Raw genomic sequence first — 19763 nt, 5'->3', positions numbered from 1 at the left:
CATCTTGAGGGAGTGACAGCATGGCAAACAGGTAATTTGGGTAACCTCAGACTGTGCTGAGCTCGGGAGGGAAACGACAGGGCCGTGGAATAGGGAGTGGCTGGGGCTGAATGAGCAGCTCCGATGGGCATCCAGGCGATGGGCATCCAGGCAGGCCTCTCTGAAGAGGTGACTTTGAGGCTGAAGGGGCTGAATGTCAAGGCAAAGGCTGGGAGGTGGGAAGTAGCTGGCTGTGTCTGGAGACCAGGAGGAAGACAGTGTGGCTGGTGGGTGGGGAGTGAGGGAGAGAGCGGGGACAGGGGTGGGAAACAGCCTTAGCCGCCCTGCTGAGGAGCAGGGGGGTGCTCTGGAGGGGATTAAGCCAGTGAGTGACAGGGCCTGATTTGTGCTTTCCAAATTCCTTTCTGGCCTCTGGGTGGAGAGAATGGATTAGAGGCTGTGGCAGGGAGAGCAGGGACCCTTGAGGGGAGGTGGGTGCAGGGACCCAGGAGAGAGGTGGAGTCGTGGCCACAGGGTGGGGGTGCAGATGGCGAAGAGTGGGTGGCTGGGGAAGGGGTTGGAGAGTGGCTATGGGGTGGGAAGGCTGAGAGTCCTGGTCGGGGCGGGTTCAATTTGGCCCAAGTGGCACCGTTTTCTGAGATGGGGAATATGGCGCAGGTGGAGGTGCAGGCATCCTGGTTTGGACTTGCCGGGTTTGAGGAGCCAGTAAGCCAAGCAAGTGGAGCATCGGGCCTTCGGTCAGCATCGGGGACCTTCTCACTTCTGGTCCAAGGTCAAAGGCTTTGCCCTAATATGTGGGTCATCTCATTGCCAGCCCATTTTTCAGATGAGGACACTGAGGGGCTCACCGCAGTCTTTAGACTGCACGTGGCCTTCTTTCAGATCCCTGCGTGGAGCGGAGAAAGCAAGACCCTGAGTGGTGCCTGATAGGAAGGTGGCAGGAAAACTCGGGGAGTGGGAGCCTAGAGCCACCTCCTGCTGACGCACATGTGTATGCGGGCACGTGTGTGTGTGTGTGTGTGTGTGTGTGTGTGTGTACGCGTGCGCACACTTGAGCATCGTGTGGAGCCCATTAACAAACAGAGAAATAAATTAACAAGTATTCAACCCACCAAATGTTCCTTCTGTTCTGTATAATAGAGCACGGGAACATAATTTTCCCCAGGAGCAAATTGCTACAGCTGAACCTGCTCCTCGTTTTCCTCCAAAAACTGCTTAAAATTCTGGAACGCTTGTTGATTTCGGGTCCTTTCCCTTTCTGGCTCCTGTCCCCAACCCCCAGGCTGCTTCCCTCTGCCTTCCCATGCGGGGCCTCTGAGGAGCCAGATTGTCACAGCTCCAGGGCTACCATTTTGCAGATGGGAGGAACCTGGGAGGCAGCAGCTCTGGCCGGGGGCCCTGAGGGCGAGAGAGGCTTTCGGTGTGCGAAGCATGAATGAAATGTCCAGGACTGGCAGAAAACACCGGCAGCTCCCCACTGGGCCTGCCACAGACCACTGTGTGACCTTGGGCAAGTCACTACCCCCTCTGAGCTTCAGTTTCTGCCTGGCAAACATGGGGCTGATCACACCTGCCATCTCCATGTGAACACGCCTGGTGGTGTACGGAGTGCGGAGTGTGATGTAGATGTGAGCTGCTTCCTTCTGAGGCACCACGTGCAGCGACTGGGGGGCCTCCCACCCCCAAGCCTTCTAAGGAGCCTTTAGATTCAGGGACTCTTGGCCTGCTTCTGAAATCCTCTAGGGCACTTCTAATTTTCTTAAAGCAAATTAATTTTAATCCACTTTAATTAAACATGTCTTATGAAAATGTATATTTATTTATAGAGCTTCTCACTGCATTCCTGATCACTGCTGCCATTCAGAGCCCAGCTCAGATCCCCACTTCCAAGCAGCCTCCTTCGGCGTGGGAGCTGGGTGAGAGGGAGGCTTTTGCACATTGATTCCTGGCTGGCTCCGGCCTGGCTGAGTTACCTTTGCTGGAGGCAGAAGAGGAAAACTGGAATCCAGTGCTCAGGAGCCAGAAATTCCAGCCCCCTACCCATGCCTTCAGGGAACCGGCTGGACTTTACGCAAGATGAAAAGTTCCATCAATCTGGGGACTGTCCCTGTGCTCCTCAGCAGAGAAATTAAATCTCAAAGAAATCACTGAGGATTTGCGGGCTGGCTGAAGGATGGGCCTTGGCCAGGTCTGCGGTGTCCAAGGTACAGTCAGCCCAGGCTTGTCTTCTCTGCTATGACAGCCCAAAACCTCATCTCCTTCAGGAAGCTCTCCTTGACTTCTTCATCTATCTTAGTCCATGCGGGCTGTGACAATAGCATACCAAGACTCAGGGTCTTGAACCACACAAGCCCAGTTCTGGAGGCTGGAAGTCTGAGATCAGGGTGCCGGCATGGTCGGGGTCAGAGGGAGGGCTCTCTTCCTGGCTTGCCTATGGCCACCTTCTTGCTGTGTCCTCACATGGTGGGGGTGGGGGGAGGAGAGCAAGTGTTATGTGGTACCTCTTCTTATAAGGACACTAATCTTCTCAGATTGGGGCTCCATCCTTGTGACCTCATTTAACCTTAATTACCTCCTTACTCCAAATACAGTCTCACTGGGGGTTAGGACCTGGATGTATAAATTTGCCAGGACAGAGTTTAGTCCATAATGCCACCCCTGCACTCCTGTCCTCTGACGATATTGCATCCACACAGGCTGGCATTGTGTTGCAAACTATTTGGTTTAATGTTCCGCAAGGTCTCCTCCCAGCACAGGCCTGGGCATACTAGACACTCCATAATGACACTGTAGCTTGAGCTGCTTCCCAGATAAGGCTGCACTTGGGGGCATTTCCAACCCCTTACCTTGGTGTATGATAGGTGGGCCCTGTACCCCAGCCTCTCCCCATGCCTAGGCTGCGTGTTGGCCATCTGAGTGGGGAGCCTTCAGACCCACACGCCTGCCATGTTCTCCCTTTCAGTGGCCCACCATTGTCCATGGAGAGAAGCTCAACTCCCCTGGCCTGCTCTCCAAGGCCCTCAAGTACTTCCTGCCCAGCCCACTGGCCTCACTTCTTATACCCTCCCCTGTGTCAAGAACACATTCTACTATTTTGTTCTTGGTGTTCATACCTGCCATTCCACCTGCCAGCTGCGAAGCTGTCTCTTCAAGCCAGTGAACTCCTACTTATCCTGTAAAGCCCTCCTTAGCATGGCTGTCCCCAGCCCCCTGGGCTGAGTTGATCTCTCCCTCCTCTGAGCTTCTGTGGCACTCTGGGCTTCCCCGTCACTGTGTGTAAGACCCTGGATGGTCCTTATCAGGGGCGGTGTCTGGCTCACCACTGGGTTCCAGTATCCTCCTGGTGCCTGGCTCCATGCTAGCCTACAGGGTGAATGGATGGGTGAATATTATCGAGCACCTCCTAGTCCAGGCACTGTTTTAGGATCTGGGAGGCTGTCATCATGGAGCTTGCTTTCCAGTAGGGCTGGGGTCCACAACCCCCGGGGGACTGGCCCTGTTAGGAACTGGGCCACACAGCAGGAGATGAGCAGTAGTGAGCGAGTGAAGCTTCATCTGTCCTTACAGCTACTCCCCATAGCTTGCATTACAGCCTGAGCTCCGCCCCCATAAGATCAGTGGAGCCTTTAGATTTTCATAGGAGCGAGAACCCTATTGTGAACTGCGCATGTGAGGGATCTAGGTAGCACTCTCCTTAGGAGAATCTAATGCCTGATGATCTGTGACTGTCTCCCATCATCCCCAGATGGGACAATCTAGTTGCAGGAAAAAAAGCTCAAAGCTCCCATTGATTCTACATTATGGTGAGTTGTATAATTATTTCATTATATATGACAATGTAATAATAATAGAAATCAAGTGCACAATAAATGTAATGCACTTGAATCATCCCAAAACCATCTCCCCAACCCTGGGCTGTGGAAAAATTGTCTTCCACGAAACTGGTCCCTGGTGCCAGAAAGGTTGGGGACTGCTGTAGTGGGGGAGAGAGATATTAAACAAGATAAATAAGCAAAATATGTACTGTGTTAGGTAGTGATCATGTCAAGGAGAAACAAATACAAGGAGAAGTGGGGAAAGGAAATGTCAGCAGTGGGGGTGCCTCTCTGAGAAGGAGACTTTTAGGTAAAGTGGGGTGTTGAGGTCAGGGAGCCATATGGAAGCCTGGGGAGACCATTCAAAGCAGAGGAAACAGGGGCATCCAGGTGGGCGTGTGCCTGGCCTGTGTGAGGAGCAGCCAGGGGAGAAGGAGGAGGCCAGAATGGGTGGAGAAGGCGGTGGGCGTGAGTGGTAAGAGAGGGGAGGAATTGTTGTCAAGGAGCAGATGGGTCCAGAACTTGGAGATCGCTCTCAGGGCTTTGGCTTTTGCTCTGAGTGAGACTGGAGTCACCGCAGGGTTTTAGCAAAGGAGTGACATGCCATGACTTGGGTTTTAAGGATTCCTCTGGCTGCTATGTGGAGGACACTGTGGGAGGCAGGACAGAAGTAGGAAGCCCTAGGGGGAGGCTGTTGAAATAATCCCGGAGGGAGATGGTGGCTTGGTCTGTGCTGGTGGCCGTGGAGTGGTGAGAAGTGGTTGATTCTGGATAGATTTTGAAAGTTCAACAAACAGGCTTTGCTGATGGTGGATCTGCTGCAGGATGAGAGAAAGAATTGGCCCCACAGTTTTTGGCTTGGGCAGCTGGAAAGATGGGAGTAACCTATCTGATCTGAGAGGGGAAGTCAGCAAAATCAGCTGGGGTGAAATGAGGCACTCAGCTGTGGTCATGTGAAGTTTGATGTGCCCGTTAGTTGTCTGGGATGCGGTGTTGAGCAGGTATCTGTGGCAGGCAAAACAGTGGCTTTCAATGATATCCAGGCCCGCAACCCTGGAACCTGTGAAATCTACCTTACGTGGAAAATGTCTTTGCAGAGTGGTGGTTAAGTATCTTGAGCTGGGGAGATGATTCTGGATCACCTGGGTGGGCCCTGAATGCAATCACTAGTGTCCATATAAGAGGGAGGCAGAGGGAGATTTGACTGCAAGGGAGGAGAAGGCCATGTGACCACAGAGGCAGATTGGAGTGATGTGGCCACAAGCCAAGGGATGACCGTGGTCACCAAAAGCTGGAAGAGGCCAGGAATGGATATGCCCCTGGAGTCTATGGCAGGAGCCAGTCCCCCCAACACTTTGGTTTTGGCCCAGTGAAACAGATTTTGGACTTCTAGCCTCTAGAATTGTGAAAGAATACATTTCTTTCCTTCTTTCCTCCCCTCCCCTCCCTCACTCCCTTACTCCCTCCCTCCCTCCCTTCCTTCATTCCTTCCTTCCTTCCTCTTTTCTTTTGAGACAAGGTCTTGCTCTGCTGCCCAGACAGGAAATACAGTGGCACAATCATGGCTCATGGCAACCTCAACCTTGCTGGCTCAAGTGATCCTCTCACCTCAGCCTCCTGAGTAGCTGGGACCACAGGTCTGTGCCACCATACCTGGCTAGTTTGTTTTACTTTTTGGAGAGATGGGGTCTAAGTTTCCTAGGCTGGCCTCAAACTCCTGACCTTAAGAATCCTCCTGCCGCGGGCTCCCAAAGTGCTAGGATTACAGGCATGAGCCACTGAGCCTGGCTGAGAATAAATTTCTGTTTATAAAATTTTTTGTTTTTAAGCCACCAAGTGTGTGGCGATTTGTTACAGCAACAGTAGGACACTAATACAGTGACAGGCCTGGAGGGAGAGTGAATGGCGTGCACTCGCACTGTGTTCTGAGCTGTGTGTGTGTGTGTGTGTGTGTGTGTGTGTGTGTGTGCGTGTGTGTATATGTCCAAAATCTGTTTCACTGGGCCAAAACCCAGTTGTGTGTGTGTGTCCATATGTGTGTGTGGTGTGTGTATTTGTGTGTGTATATGTGTATGCGTGTGTGTGTGTGTGTATGGGAGGGGCAAGTGTGTGCGCCTGTGCTGTGGCGTGTGAAGTCAGAAGGCCTACAGTGATGGGGTTGGACCCCCCCACCATGATAACAACGACAGTAATCAATAATACCACCACACACCACTGGCTGGTTGACCGCACCATAAATATTTGATCCTCACTATCCCCTGTAATTGAGGCTGGGGCTGGGGAAAGGCTGGGGTGAGCACCTTCCATGTGGCAGGCCCAGCTCCTGAGCTTCCTCCCGTAGTGCTATGTCAGCAATGAGGGTCGTCTCTGCAGGGTGGGCCCTGGCACGGGACTGAGATTTGCCTAGATGGTGGGAATACCCCACCTGGCCAGGCTGGTAGTGGCTCTAAGCAAAGTCTTTAGAGCCAGGCTCTGGGTCTAGCCTGCCTGACTTTGAATCCTGCTTTTCCACCTAGAAGCTGGGTGGCCTTGGCTATGCCTCAGTGTCGTGTCTATAAAATGAGTGTATTAGCAGTGCTGACCTCATGGGGTCTAATGAGGCTTATATTAGTTAAAATATGTACAATGCTTAGAATGTGTCAGCTCTTAACCCTCTGGCCTTGAGGGCCAAGGCTGCGGTAGAAGGAGCTTTGCAGTCCAAAGATCTGGTTTCAAATCCCAGATTGCCTCAAGCTTGGTGTGGGACCCTGAACAAGAGGCTTGTTTTCTTCTTCATAACACCAGCCTCCTGCACAGCCATGGAGGACATGGTGGCTGATATGCAAAGGGCCTGTTATATTGCGGCCCCAAAGTTGAGGGCTCTGCCAGAGTCAGCTCCCTCCCTCCCTCCCTCCCTCCCTCCCTCCCTTCCTCCCTTCCTGCCTTCCTGCCTTCCTGCCTTCCTGCTTTCCTGCCTTCCTGCCTTCCTGCCTTCCTGCCTTCCTGCTAAAGCCCCGGGACAGGTGACCTGCCCCCAAGACCACCTCCACCATAAGCAGATTCTGTCTTAAGGCTTGCAGGGCAGGAGGGAATCCATGGTGGAGGGGGTGCTGGAAGGGCCCTGGGCATGGCAGGGAGGGTGGCCAGGGCAGTCAGAGTGATGCCTTAATGTGCCCAAACAGCTATGGCAGTGCATTTGTGGTTGTGATGACCTCGGGAACAGCAATGTATTCAGGCCCTGTTAGAATCTGCAGGGAAGACGTAATATTTACAGCCCAAATCTCTGTCCCCATAAAGGGAGGCAGGGGGAGGAGCTGGGAGGGGGAGGGAGGGGCTGGGCTTTTGGGTAATGTCATAAACGGAGACTGTCTCCCTGGAAACAGCCGTGGTGGTGGCGGCCACAGGCTGACAGATGTGCATGCTGTAATATGGGTCCATGGAGGCGGTGACGAGGACATTGAGAGGGATGGATGGGCTGTAACTCACCAGGCCTGGGGCTCAGAGACATCAGGTTGTGCTAATGAGGGCATGGGGGGGATGCTGACGGAGGAACGAAGGCCTGGAACTGCGTGTGTGTGGGGCAGTGGGGTGCCCGCTGCTGTGTGGGGTTTGGGGAGACCCTCCAGCCTCTGGCTTATGGCCCAGGGCCAACCTCAGAGACAGGCCAAGCTGGCTGGGAGAAATTTTCAGACTTAGGAAACTAACTCTTTAGCCATGTTGGGCCGGGTCTAGAGAGGCACAGACAGAGGGACGTGGGCTGGAGAGCCTCGGCTCAGGCATGGGAGGCTGTATGACAAGGAGCAATGAGTGTGATAGGAAGCAGAGGATGGCCCAGTCACGCCTGCTGTGCACGACCCTGTCAAGAGCTGGGTGTGGTGGGCCCACACTACCAGAGCTGCTGGGGCCGAGGCTTTCCTTAAGTCTTCTCATTTCAGAGAGAGGGAGGAGCTGGCCTTCAGCCACCCAGCCAGTTGATGCTCCACTCTGAGCCCCACCTAAGCCCACAGGGACAGTAACAGGAGGTGGCAGGCAGGAGAGACCGGGACCTGCAAACTGGGTAGTGGTAGGCTCAGGGGCTGCACTTGCTGTCTAGGAATGTCTAAGGGCCTGGAAGCCTTGCCCCAAACTTGGGCCTGCAGTGGGCACCCACTGCTGTAGGGCAGAGCCAGGTCCAGGGAGGGGAATCTCAATTAGAGCTTCAGATGGATGGGCTGCCTTGGGTGGAGGTGACCTTGCTATCATCAAGTGGGGGCTTGAAGGCCATGGCCAAGGAGACTGGAGAGGGAGTTCTTGGTGGAGAAAGGGGCGGGTTGGAGGCCTATCCCTCTAGCCCCGAGGTGCTGCCATCCCCAGTTCCCTGCAATAGGATGACCCACGTCTGAGCATCAGGCCTGTGGCTCTGCCACCCTCAACATGCATCGCCTCTGAGGCCCAGCCCCAGGCGACGTGAGACGTGGGTTCTAGTCCCAGCCAGGTTCTGACTTGCTGTGTGAATTTAGCTGGAGCTGTTGGCCTCTCCGGGGCAGGATGCAGGAGTACTGAGGCTGTGAAGGTGCAGGGCTGTGGAGGGAGAACACTGGGCACTGAGGCTGGTTGCCGAGTCCAGCTCCTTTTGGGCACTCTTCTCTGTACGTGGATAGAAATCCAGGTGCACCCACTGATGACCTCATGACCAGGGTCAGGACCCAATACAGGGTCAGGAGGCTTCTTTTCATCTCCTTCTGCTGCATGGCCATCAACCCTGTTAGACTGCTGCTCTCATTACTGACATCACCACCCTGGGCCCCAAACTGGATGGGCTGATGGGCTCTGTGTGGTGGGTGGGCTGATGGGTTCTGTGTGGTGGGTGGGCTGAGCCACTGGGCTCATGCCCTGCTGGGGATCAGGCACCCGGGATTGTGTGTGTGCACTAAGTGTGGGCAGCCATGCGTGATCCCACAGAGCAGCCCATGGAGTTCCCGTGGGGTTCCCGGCGGGGTTGGAGAGGGCTCCTGTAGGGTGCCCCGCTGCTTGTGGTGTCTGGGGGCTGGGAGTGGAATTGGTGGGGGCTGCTTCTCGATTCTGAGGTGGAATCTGATCGGAAGGTGCTTGAGGGGAGATAGGCCCTGGGAGAGGTGGGCAGAGGGCTGAGGGCTGTTGGCAGAGTCTGGCTGGGGACCAAGTGGGTATCTGGCAGTTGGGCGAGGCCAGTGCCAGCTGTTTGATGTGAATGAAGACCCCCATTCCCCCGCTCACCTGTGGATCTGAGTTAACTTCCTCCGTGCACACTCACCACCCTCTAGGCTGTGCCCCCACACCTGGGAGAGGTATAGGGCTCTCCAGCCTCGCTCACCTATTCTCCCTGTAGAGGGCATCGATGCCCATGGCATCCCTGGAGCCCCTGTCCTCAGGAGCTGTGCAGCCAAGGAGGGCAGTGGGTGGGTAGGGGCTCCCCATGTGGGGACTTGCAACTGCTGCTCCCTTCCAGGAACTCCTGACCCAGTGTCCCCTTTGGAGCCCTGGTGGTGTGGGACTGAGGAGAGATGTTGTTTGTGGGGACCAGCAGGAGCCTGAGGGGATGTTCTCAGGACTTAAGGGAGAGAGTGGGGGGCCAGAGACCCCTGAGTAGGTAGGACAGCCAGAGAAGGCCACTGCTCCTTGGGAAGGTCCCCAGGCTGAGGGCTTTGGAAGAGAAGCTTTGCCCTGGGCAAAGTCAGAGAGAGGTCATATGCTTAAAATCTTCACGGCCCAGGCTGTGTGACCCCAGGCAAGTGTGACCCCAGGCAAGTGCCTTCGAGCCTGTGTATCAGTGCTGGGCGGCCTTGGTCAGCTTCTGTCTCCAGGGTCGCTTGTGCCGAGAGGTGCCCAGGCTGGAGTCATACCTGCCTTCCTGTGTGGAGAGGGAGCTGGGGCTGGACTCCGGGGCTGGGAGGGATGGGCTTCCAGGGTGGTGGAGGGGCACAGGAGGCCAGGCACAGTTTGGCCTGCATTGGTTCAAATCTCACCTACTAGCTGTCACCTAACTTCACTGCGACCAGCCTCATCTGTAAAGTCGGGACTCTGCCAACATCAGGGGCTGCTGTGTCAAGGTCAAGTGAGTCATTTCACTCAAGCCTGGCACACAGTGGGTGTTCATTCATGCTGGCCACATTGTTATAACGCTGGAATTGAAATTGCTCAGAGCTCCTGGCAACTCTCTTCCCCCACAGCCTGCTGCAACATGCCAAAGCCTCCCAGGAGTCCCATGGATCTTCAGCAGTCACATGGTCCGGCCTCCCATTGCTCAGATGTGGAGACTGAGGCCTTATAGGATAGGGCTATGGCAGGGACCTGGGCTCTGGGGCCTCCATTTTGGCAGCCTCTTCTCTGGCCTTTCCACAGCCACCTTCTCCTCCCTCCATGAGCCTATTCTCCGTTGCCATGGGGGACACCCGCCTTGGCTCTCGACCAGGTGTCACCCAAGAGCAGATGCCCATAGACCAGGTGAGGCTGAGTGGGTAGTAGCTTGACGGATGGTAGGAGGGGAGGGAGAGACTGAAGCCCACTCCCCTGGCCTCCCAGTCCCCAGAGCCGAAGCTGGTTCCTGCTAATTAGCGCCTTAACGAACCATGCTAAGGCGCGCCCCCTGAGCCTGCTCCCAGACAGATAATTATGATGATGTTTTTGGCTGCTGGGGGCAGGCAGCTGGAGGTGGGGGGAAAGAGGGCTTTTCTGGCTTTATTACTGTCCACAGGGATTTTCAAACTTACCCACTCTCACCTCATTTGGAGAAGGAAAAAAATGTGTTAATGGACCTTTTTCTGCAGCTGAGAAGGACAATTTATGATAGAGGTGACAAATTTCATTTTAATGAGAGGTAGATTCTGCTTTATTTTAAACCATAGACCCCCCACCCCAGCCCCCAGCCGAGTCTATGGATTTGGGGCGTTGACAGCGGAAGCCAAGGTGTCAGGTTGGCAGGACCTGGGGAGGCCGACTGCTCAGGGAGCAGTCAGAATTCCCACCTTCTGAGCCGCAGCGTCTGCCTACTCACACGCTGAGCTCCTGTACACTCGGGGATGCTGGAGGCCAGTGCTTGCACCCTCCTCTTACGGATGAGGAAACCGAGGTTACGGGAAGTTAAAAGACTTGCCCCAAATTGCCCTGGAATTTTAAGGGTTGGTGGGTGAGGTTGGAACCCAGGCTGCCTGACACCAAACTCCATACTCTTAGCACTTCATCTCACTGCCTGACCCTGGTGGGAGACCATCCACCCAGGTCATTCTCAGGGACAGGGAGAGGAAGCTCAGGTTAGATAAGCCAGGTGGAGTCTACCAGCCCTGGCCAGCCTTGGCCCTGGAGCACCTGTGGCTGCACTGGCCTGGGAGGAGGCCCAAGGTTCCTCTTTCTGTATGGAGGGTACTATTTGAATGGCATTTGCTGCAGGCCTAGAGGTGGGGTACACAGTGGAGGTGGGTGTCCCATCTTCCCTGCAGTCTCTAAATCAGAGAGTGATCCCTCCAATGAGTCTACCAGACCTTGGAGCCAGGCTGGAGGGGGATGGCCCAACCTCTGAACGAGGAGAAACTCAGGGCCATTGAGGGCAGGCGACCTCGGGGCCTGCCAGGACCAGAGTCAGGAAGGGGAGCAGGTATCCTGTCCACAGGCATGCAGAGCTGAGCCCAGGCCTGCCCCTTCCCTAGTTGCTGCCCCTGTGGAGTTGCCCACAACACCCTGTCGACATGTAGGCGGGGGGTGGCCAAGGCTTCTGGAGTTCCCAGAGTCCCATTCCTTCCTGGGCCCCACCCCAGCCTCCTAGCCTAGCTTCCAGCAGTCTCCTCCTCCTCGGGTGTGCCCATGAGCACTGACTTATCTACGGAACTTGGTGGGGGTCTTGGAGGCCGGGACCAGGTTGGAGGCTTCTTTCCCATGATCCGAGAACTTGCTGTGGAGAATCCTAGGGCTGGGGATTCAGTGGCTCTCAGACCCTTGGTTTTGTAGGTCAGAGGAGTCTATTGCAGACTCTTGCCCTGACCTGGGATAGTGTGAAGCATGGGGACACTAGACTGTGGGGTCAGTGTCCAGTGGCTCCACATCAATGTGCCGGAGTCAGAGCCCAGCCCTGGCCCTTATCACTGGGGACCTTGGGCAAGTCTCGTTCCCTCATCTGGAAAATGGGTTAATAATGCCATGTCCTGCTGGAGTTGGGAAAGGTGTGAATGTGATGCTGTAATGATATTGCATGTGTAGTCAGTGCTCAAAAGTGGTTGCAAATATAAAATTCCCAGGATCATGATATCTTAGAATCCCAGACAAACTTGGAGGTCCAGGGGAAGGTCGGGAGGAACCTTAAGAGCTGCGGGTTCAACTCTCCCTCGAGAAGGACTTCTCCTCCCCCAGGTCTGTGATGCTGTTATCCCATCTCTGTTTGACCTCTCCTCTCTCTGACCCTGCCTCACTTTGAGGTGCTGGTGTGTGGAGAGGTGTTGTGTCAGAGGTGGGGTTCAGCTTTCTGAGTGATTTGAGCCCCGAGAAGGGTCACAGTCACTACTCAGGGTCCTGAAGATGTGGACCAGCCCACTGCTTCCGCGCCCACTTCCCTGACTGGCCTAGGCAGGAGGCCAGGTAGGCGGTGGGCATCTGGGTGCTCTCTCCGGCCCTGGATGGCAGCCTGCCAGGCCAGGCTGGGAGTTCCCTTCTCCTGTGTCCCTGGCCTTGGCCAGTTTAGGGCTTAGGAAGGGCCTGTCGATTCCTGCTGAAGTGAGGAGGATGCATTGTGTCCTGAAGGGTCCCCGGATCTGGAGTTAGGCTTGGATTTAAACCCCCTCTTCGTGGAGTGAGGCCTAGGTGACTTTCTTAAGATCTCAGAGCCTCAGTTTCCATATCTTTTTTTTTTTTTTTTTTTTTTTTGAGACAGAGTCTCGCTTTGTTACCCAGGCTGGAGTGCAATGGCACGATCTTCTGCTCACTGCAACCTCCACCTCCTGGGTTCAAGCAATTCTCCTGCCTCAGTCTCCTGAGTAGCTGGAATTACAGGCATGCACCACCTCGCCTGACTAATTTTGTATTTTTAGTAGAGACGGGATTTCTCCATGTTGGTCAGGCTGGTCTCGAACTCCTGATCTCAGGTGATCTGCCTGCTTCGGCCTCCCAAAGTGCTGGGATTACAGGCTTGAGCCACCGCGCCCAGCCAGTTGCCACATCTTTAAGTGGTAGCAACAATCCACTCCTCTGGGCAGTGGTGAGGATTCAACCAGATCCAGTCAGTAGAGCCCCACCCAGTGCCTAGTACTTAGTATGGTCTCTCCTTGGAAAGAAGGCATTGGTTTCGGAGCCTGCTGCTCTGGAGTGAGCCTGGGAACACCACAGGGTCCCCCTCTCCAGCTGAGGGCACTAAGGCTTGTTTGCTTCCTGGGACTCAGGCCCCAAGTTATGTCTTTCTATCCCAGGGACCCCCATCTCAGGTGGACCCCAGGAAGAAGAGCTCCCCAGGACAGCATATTTGGCCCCAGGTCCTGGCCCACCATTTACTGCAGTGTTTCTGTGGACAAGTCACAAAACCACACTGAGTCTCGGTTTCTTCACCTGAAAATGGGGCAGATCAGGTCTCAGAATTGCACAGGCTCACGTCTGCTGCACGTGTAGGACATGGCAGGTCTTTGTGAGGTACCCGCACCGGGAGAGACTTGCTGATGGCTGCTCTTTCAGGTCCTCCCTCCCCGTCTCCTTTTCCAGGGAATGCCTCTGTCCATGGGGTGGGGTTGGGGCATGAGGTGAGTAGATAAACAGCCGTCCAGCACTGTCGAGTGGGGATCCTGTCCCCCAGGGGTGGGTGGGGGCTGAGGTGCTTGGCAGTCTTCCCCCAGCCTCTCTCCATGGCAATCCTCCTGCCTCCATCCTTGCCTCCAGTTGGCTTCGACATTGCCCAGCTCAACCTGGGGTATGGCTGGATATGGGGAGAGTCAGACCCTGATAGCTCCTCCCATGGGAACGTGCCTTCTCACTCCCTGGCTGACCCTGGCCACTCCATCAGCCATCAGGTCTGCCAGAGCACGTCCCAGGGTGTGCGAGTGGGAGGCAAGAAAGGGCCCAGTCACAGGGGAGGCTGGGGGGGGACCTTGGCAGGACTTGAAGCTAATTACTGTGGGTAGGTAGGAGAAGGCAAGTGGCCCTGCCAGAGGTGGGGATGGGACGAGTGGGGTTTTCCTCCTCTCTTTGAGCTCCTGGCAAATTTCTGCTCATCTAAGCCTCAGCCTTGGCACAGCTCCGCTGGAGGCCTTTGCTGCCTTTAGGCAGCCAATGGGGGCTTCCCACCCTGGGCCCCACCCTGTCATGGATAGCCTCTTCTGTGGCTCTGTGGCCCTGAGCCTGGCGTGGTGCTGGCTGCGGCCAGGGTCTGGAGCAGGGAGGCCAGAGACTCAGGTAAGGGTTGCACACCAGGACCCATAAATTGTCCCTGACAGCAGTGGGAGCCATTGAAGGGTCCTGGGCAGTGGAGGCTGGGATGACAGCAGGGTTCTATGGAGGGGACAGGGCAGAAGGCCCTGCAGTGATGGGGCTGCAGTGGGCTGAGAGAAACCCCAGGCAGGGGGACCTGTGGCCACACCCCTGCTGCCCCGCAAGGCTGCAGTGCCTCATCTGCCCTGAGTGGGGGATGAATCCAGGGTGTAGATTACCCTGGTGAGTGGGCATCGATTTCCATTAAAGGGCTGGGTCGTGAATTTTTCTCTCCTGCCGTCCTCTGACAGGCCCAGGGCTTGGCTGCTGAGAGGGGCGGGGAGCAAAGGAGGGGAAGAGAGACAGAGTCGGGAGGTAGGGACAGAGTGGGGGTAGGGACACTCATAAGCCTCTCTCCCCCATATATTCCTTTCCTCCCTCCTCCAAGTCCAGGCACGCAGGTCTCTGTCACTGTCCCAACCTGCCCACCAGTGTCCCTGTGAGTAAACCAGGGCTCCCCTGTCACAGACCTGGTTCTCTTCCTTCATGGCTCTCCTCACAATGTGTATTTGTTGCTTTATTTGCTTAATGTGAGGACAGAGGCTGTGGCTGGCTGCCTTTTTTGTAGTCTTGTCCCCAGTGCCTGGGACGCAGGAGGCACTCGAAAAATATTTGTTACATGAAAAATAGAAAGAAAAGTTCAGGAGGCCTCTGGCGGGGGCAGACTCCCACCTTCAGGAGGCGCTAATCAGGGAGGAGGAAGCTGAGGGCCTCCTGTCTGCCCGGGGACCCTGCATCTGGCCCTTTATGAGAAGGGAGGGGAGGGGCCCAGGTGTTCCCTGGAAACCCCACAGGGGTGGAGGCAGGGGTTGCTGGGAGGCTGGGGTCCTGGTGGGTGGGTGTACACAGGACAGTGAACATTTGCAGGTTAGGGCAGGAAAGCAGGTGTTTAGGAGCCCGGGGTGGCCCCACAGAGGGGAGGGGAGGCCACTGTGTTGCTTTGTCACAAACCCACAGTCTTCTGTCCTTCCCTGGGCCATTTGCTACTCCTCTGGAGCAACCTCTTCCAACAATTTTTGTGGATTGTTTGAGTGTTTACTTCCCTACGTCTAAATAACTGGCTTATTTGCTGCTTTTTGGTTTTCCTTTTTCAGGCATTAACTATTGACTTTTACTGTGTAAGCTGAGGATTTAGCTTCCACCCCACTCACCCACATTTTTGATTGGCTGAGCTATGTAATGTACTCTGATTACTTTTCCTTTCTTCACAACTCGGTTTTCCCTGGAGTTAATGACTGTCTTTTTAGTGGGGGTGGAGAGAGGCTTTTTGAAAATCACTAATTCGGTTCCCAACTTTCCCCAGTTGAGTACAACTCCTCTCAACATAATACATGAAAGCCTCTACCAATGTTACCTTCTTGAAGAAATTCTCTCCCTGAGCCTCTGTGCTGCTCTGATTTGGTTTATTTTGACATCCTCTGTGCAGCAGACATGCAGGATCTCCATCTCCATGACCCTGGGGATTCCTGTCACCACTCTTGCATTGACCCTCTTGCTCCCTGGACCCCACGTCTTCCTCTTGGTTTACACTCCCATTTTGTGAAGCACACCCTCTAATAGCTTCCAGAAAAGTTGCCTGGGAGGTACATTTTTGAGACCTTGCATATCTGGAAACTTCTTCATTCTTTCCTGAATCCTGACAGTCTGACTGGGTGTAGAATTCCGAATGGAGATCTTTTTTCCCCCAGAATTTTAAAGGAGCCCCTCTCTCTAAAGTCATTGCTTACAGTGCTGGTGTTAAGAAATCACAGTTGCTCTGAGATTTGATTCTTTGCAAGCTACTGGGAATTTTTATTTTCTGGAAGCTTCTAGAACCTTCTCTTTCTCCCTGTGTTCTGATAATTCACTATGTGCTCTCTGTCTTGATGAGGGTCAAATTGGAAATCCATGTTTTTTGCTCTGGAAAAGTTTTTGAATTGCTCCTTTCATGTTTCCTAACCTCTGTGTTTTTCTCTTCTCATTTTCTGGAACCCCAGTTAACCAGATGTTGTGCTTCCTGGAGGGAACTCTGGCTCCCTTATCTTTTCCCTCCTTTACACTTTTTTAAAAAATCTTCTCCTCTTTCTGGGAAATCTCAATTTTATCAATCTGTCCTTCCAATGGATTTTTTTTTAAAAATTCTGCTTTATCAATATTACATTTCAAAGCTTCTTTCTTATTTGGTGAATATTCTTGTATTGGTCCATTCTCACACTGCTATGAAGAAATATCTGAGACTGGGTAATTTGTAAAGGAAAGAGGTTTAATTGACTCATAGTTCTGCATTGCTGGGACGGCCTCAGGAAACTACAATCATGGCGGAAGTCAACCTTCTTCCCAAGGCAGCAGGACAGAGTGAGTGCAAGCAGGGGAAATGCCAGATGCTTATAAAACCATCAGATCTCATGAGAACGCACTCACTTCACGAGAATGAAGGGGGAGCCATCCTCATGATCCAATTACCTCTACCTGGCCCTGCCTTTGACACGTGGGGATTATGGGGATTACAATTCGAGGTGAGATTTTGGTGGGAACACAGAGCCAAATCATATCAATTCTCTTTAAAATGTATTGCAATCAGTTCTTATTCATGGATACCATATTTTGAGTTTTTTTTGCGGAAAATGATAGGTTTTTTTTTTTTTGAGTTCCTTCTGTCTGCATTGCCCATTTCTTTTCTTTTCTCTCTCTCTCTGTTTGTGTGTTTTTTTTTTTTTTTTTTTTGAGACAGGGTCTCCTTCTGTTACCCAGGCTAGAGTGCAGTGGTGCAGTCATGGCTCATTCTAGCCTCTATCTCCCAAGCTGAGGCGATCCTCCTGCCTCAGCCTCTGGAGTAGCTGGGACTACAGGTGCATGCCACCATGCCTGGCTGACCCAGCCACTTGTTTTTTTCACATTGCACTTTTGTTTCTGTTTGCTTCCCTGTTTGGAACTCTGTCTTTCATATTAGAGATTCCCTCAGTTAATTCCCTTAGCAAACATTTATTGAGTACCACCTATGTGCCAGCTCCATTCTCTAGCCCTGAACAAATGGTCAGAAGTCCCTGAGCTGGTGGAGCTGACATCCAAATGCTTGACGATGTTCAGTGGGTTGTTTCTATTTAGGAGTGGGGTGCTAAAGGCTGGTGTCCCTTGTGCAGGGGTGGGCCTGTCAACCATGGCTGCCCCATGGCTGATCTTCCTGGGCCAGTTCACAGGGAAGCCCCAATGGCAGCATCTCCTAGAAGGACTCTGATTCTTCTGGAGCGAGTGGGAGAGGAAGGCTGGGATCTGGACCTGAAATTCAGCGTACAAACTCAACTACTCCTTCAGTTTTCAGTATGGGTCCCCACTCTCCACCCAGGCTGGGTGGGCTGGGTGCCTTCCAGGCCAGAGACCCTCAGTTTGATCCTCCCCACTGGAAAAAACTCACTACCAGTCTTCCCTGGGCAGAGGTAGAGAAGGAGCTCCTTGGGGTCTGTCTGCTTCTCATACAGACTTCCAAGCAGTCTTTCATTCCTGTGTCTAGGGGTGCCTGGTGCTACCAGTTCCTGAGCTTGGATTCTACCAGTTAATAGGAGAGGGGCTTAGGACTCTGCTTTCACAGTTCTGGTTTTTTTTTTTTTTTGAGACACAGTCTCGCTCTGTTGCCCAGGCTGGAGTGCAGTGGCACGGTCTCGGCTCATTGCAGTCTCGACCTCCTGGGTTCAAGCGATTCTCATGTCTCAGCCTCCAGAGTAACTGGGATTACAAGTGTGCACCGCCGCAGCTGGCTAATTTTTGTATTTTTAGTAGAGACGGGGTTTCACCATGTTGGCCAGGCTGGTCTCCAACTCCTGACCTCAAGTGATCTGCACCCCTCGGCCTCCCAAAGTGCTGGGATTACAGGCATGAGCCACCATGCCAGGCCTGCTTTCCCAGTTCTGCCAGACAAATCACCGTTCATCCATCTGCTCTCCAACTTTCAAAACCATGTTGCTGTTTCCTCTTCTTTCATTCTTGGTCCTTGTGGATTTATGCACAGAAAAGATTCTTCACTGTTGTGATGGGGTTTTGGAAGGAAGTGGAGGTAAATGCAATGCATGCCTTCAATCTGCCGTGGTTCATCTGCACATCCACATGGACCTCCTTTCCTGCTGGTGGATATCTGCAGCATTCCTCCTTTTCATTCTTACAAACATGGCTGCTGTGAGCATTGTGGACATTCCCCTTGTGCATGTGGGAGACTCTTGGAGTGGAACTGCTCTGTGGTAGGATACATGTATCTTCAGCTTCACAAGATAAGGTCAAATCGTTCCCCCCAGTGCTTGCATCACCTTCCATGGCCAACAGCAACGTATGAGTAGTTGGTGTTGCTCCAGCGATGCTTGGCACTCTCTGGCTTTTTAGCTGTCCACCAACTTAATGAGTGAAGGATTGTGGCATTTCTCGGAACTCTGCTGAGCTTCAGCAAGCCTTCTCATGTGTTTACTGGCCCTTCAGCGCTCCTCTTCTGCCAGTTGCCTGTTCCTATTCTTTGCCTTTTAAAAAAAGTGGGTGATTTGTCTTTTTCTTATTGATTTGCAGAATTCTTTATATAGCCTGGAAACAGTTTTTTTGTCAGCTATCTATGCTGCAGGTATATTCTTCTGGTCCATCTGTGGCTTGTCTTTTCCCGTTGTAATGTCTTTTGTTGAACGGATGATTTAAATGGTAACAAAGTCAACTTTCTCACCTTTATGGCTTATGCTTTTTATTACTTGTTGGGGATGAGCATTTTTAAGGCTCTTGATGTATATGGCTAAATTATCACTGAGAAAAGTTGTCCTAATTTGCCCTTGGAAGGGGCAGAGAGATGACAGGCATCCCAGGTGCACATATGGTGGGCATGAACGCAGACGGAGTGGGGATCAGGAGTGGGATAATTAATGAATAACTAAAATGCATACAGTGCACAAGGCTTCAAAGTGCTGTGGGGGAAAATGCGTTACTTGATCCTTGACACCCTCCTAAAAGGCCCCTTTCTTTGTTCTCCTTTGGAGAACTGAGGCCTCCCGCCATGGTCACAGGTGACTTTGATTCAAGCTCAGCTCCAGCCGAGGTGTCTGGGCTGAGAGTTGAGGAGACTTGGGGGAGGGTGGTTAATTAGTGTCCAGGGGAAGGGGGGATGAGCGGCCACCTTTTCCCATGGCAGAAGCCCTGTGTTTTTGCTGGCAATGGGGTGTTTGTGCTGCCTGGGGAAGTGGGAGGGGCTTTGGGATCACAGAGCCCTGGGTGCTGCCTCTTAACAGCTCCGGACCCTCAGGCAGGCTCTGGACCTCTCTGAGCCTGTCTCCTCCTGGATAGAAAGGGCATGATGCAGATGCAGCCCTGGGGGAGCTGGAGGGCTGAGTTAGATAATGCAGGTAAGAGTTCCTAAAGCCAGAAAGGTGCTCTCAGGTGGAAGATTTGTTCCCTGAGGAGAGCTATGGGGGAAGGGTGGGCACCTGGGAGAATGGCAGAGCAGTGGGGCTGCATGGGGACATATTCGAGGGTCAGTCAGTGGGGGGTGGGCAAAGCCTGCAGTGGTGGTAGAGG

At 53.4% G+C, this 19763-nt stretch overlaps 1 protein-coding gene across 9 annotated transcripts in view; it reads left to right on the top strand.

The window, feature by feature from the left end:
• LINGO1 (leucine rich repeat and Ig domain containing 1) overlaps positions 1-19763 on the top strand; it is a 207874-nt gene that overhangs the window by 37651 nt on the left and 150460 nt on the right. The gene's annotated exons all lie outside the window — the stretch shown is intronic.

Source organism: Homo sapiens, chromosome 15, assembly GCF_000001405.40.
Source record: "Homo sapiens chromosome 15, GRCh38.p14 Primary Assembly".
Lineage (NCBI taxonomy): Eukaryota > Metazoa > Chordata > Mammalia > Primates > Hominidae > Homo > Homo sapiens.
The sequence above is the reverse complement of the archived record's forward strand: the minus strand, read 5'-3'. Positions and strand labels throughout refer to the sequence as shown.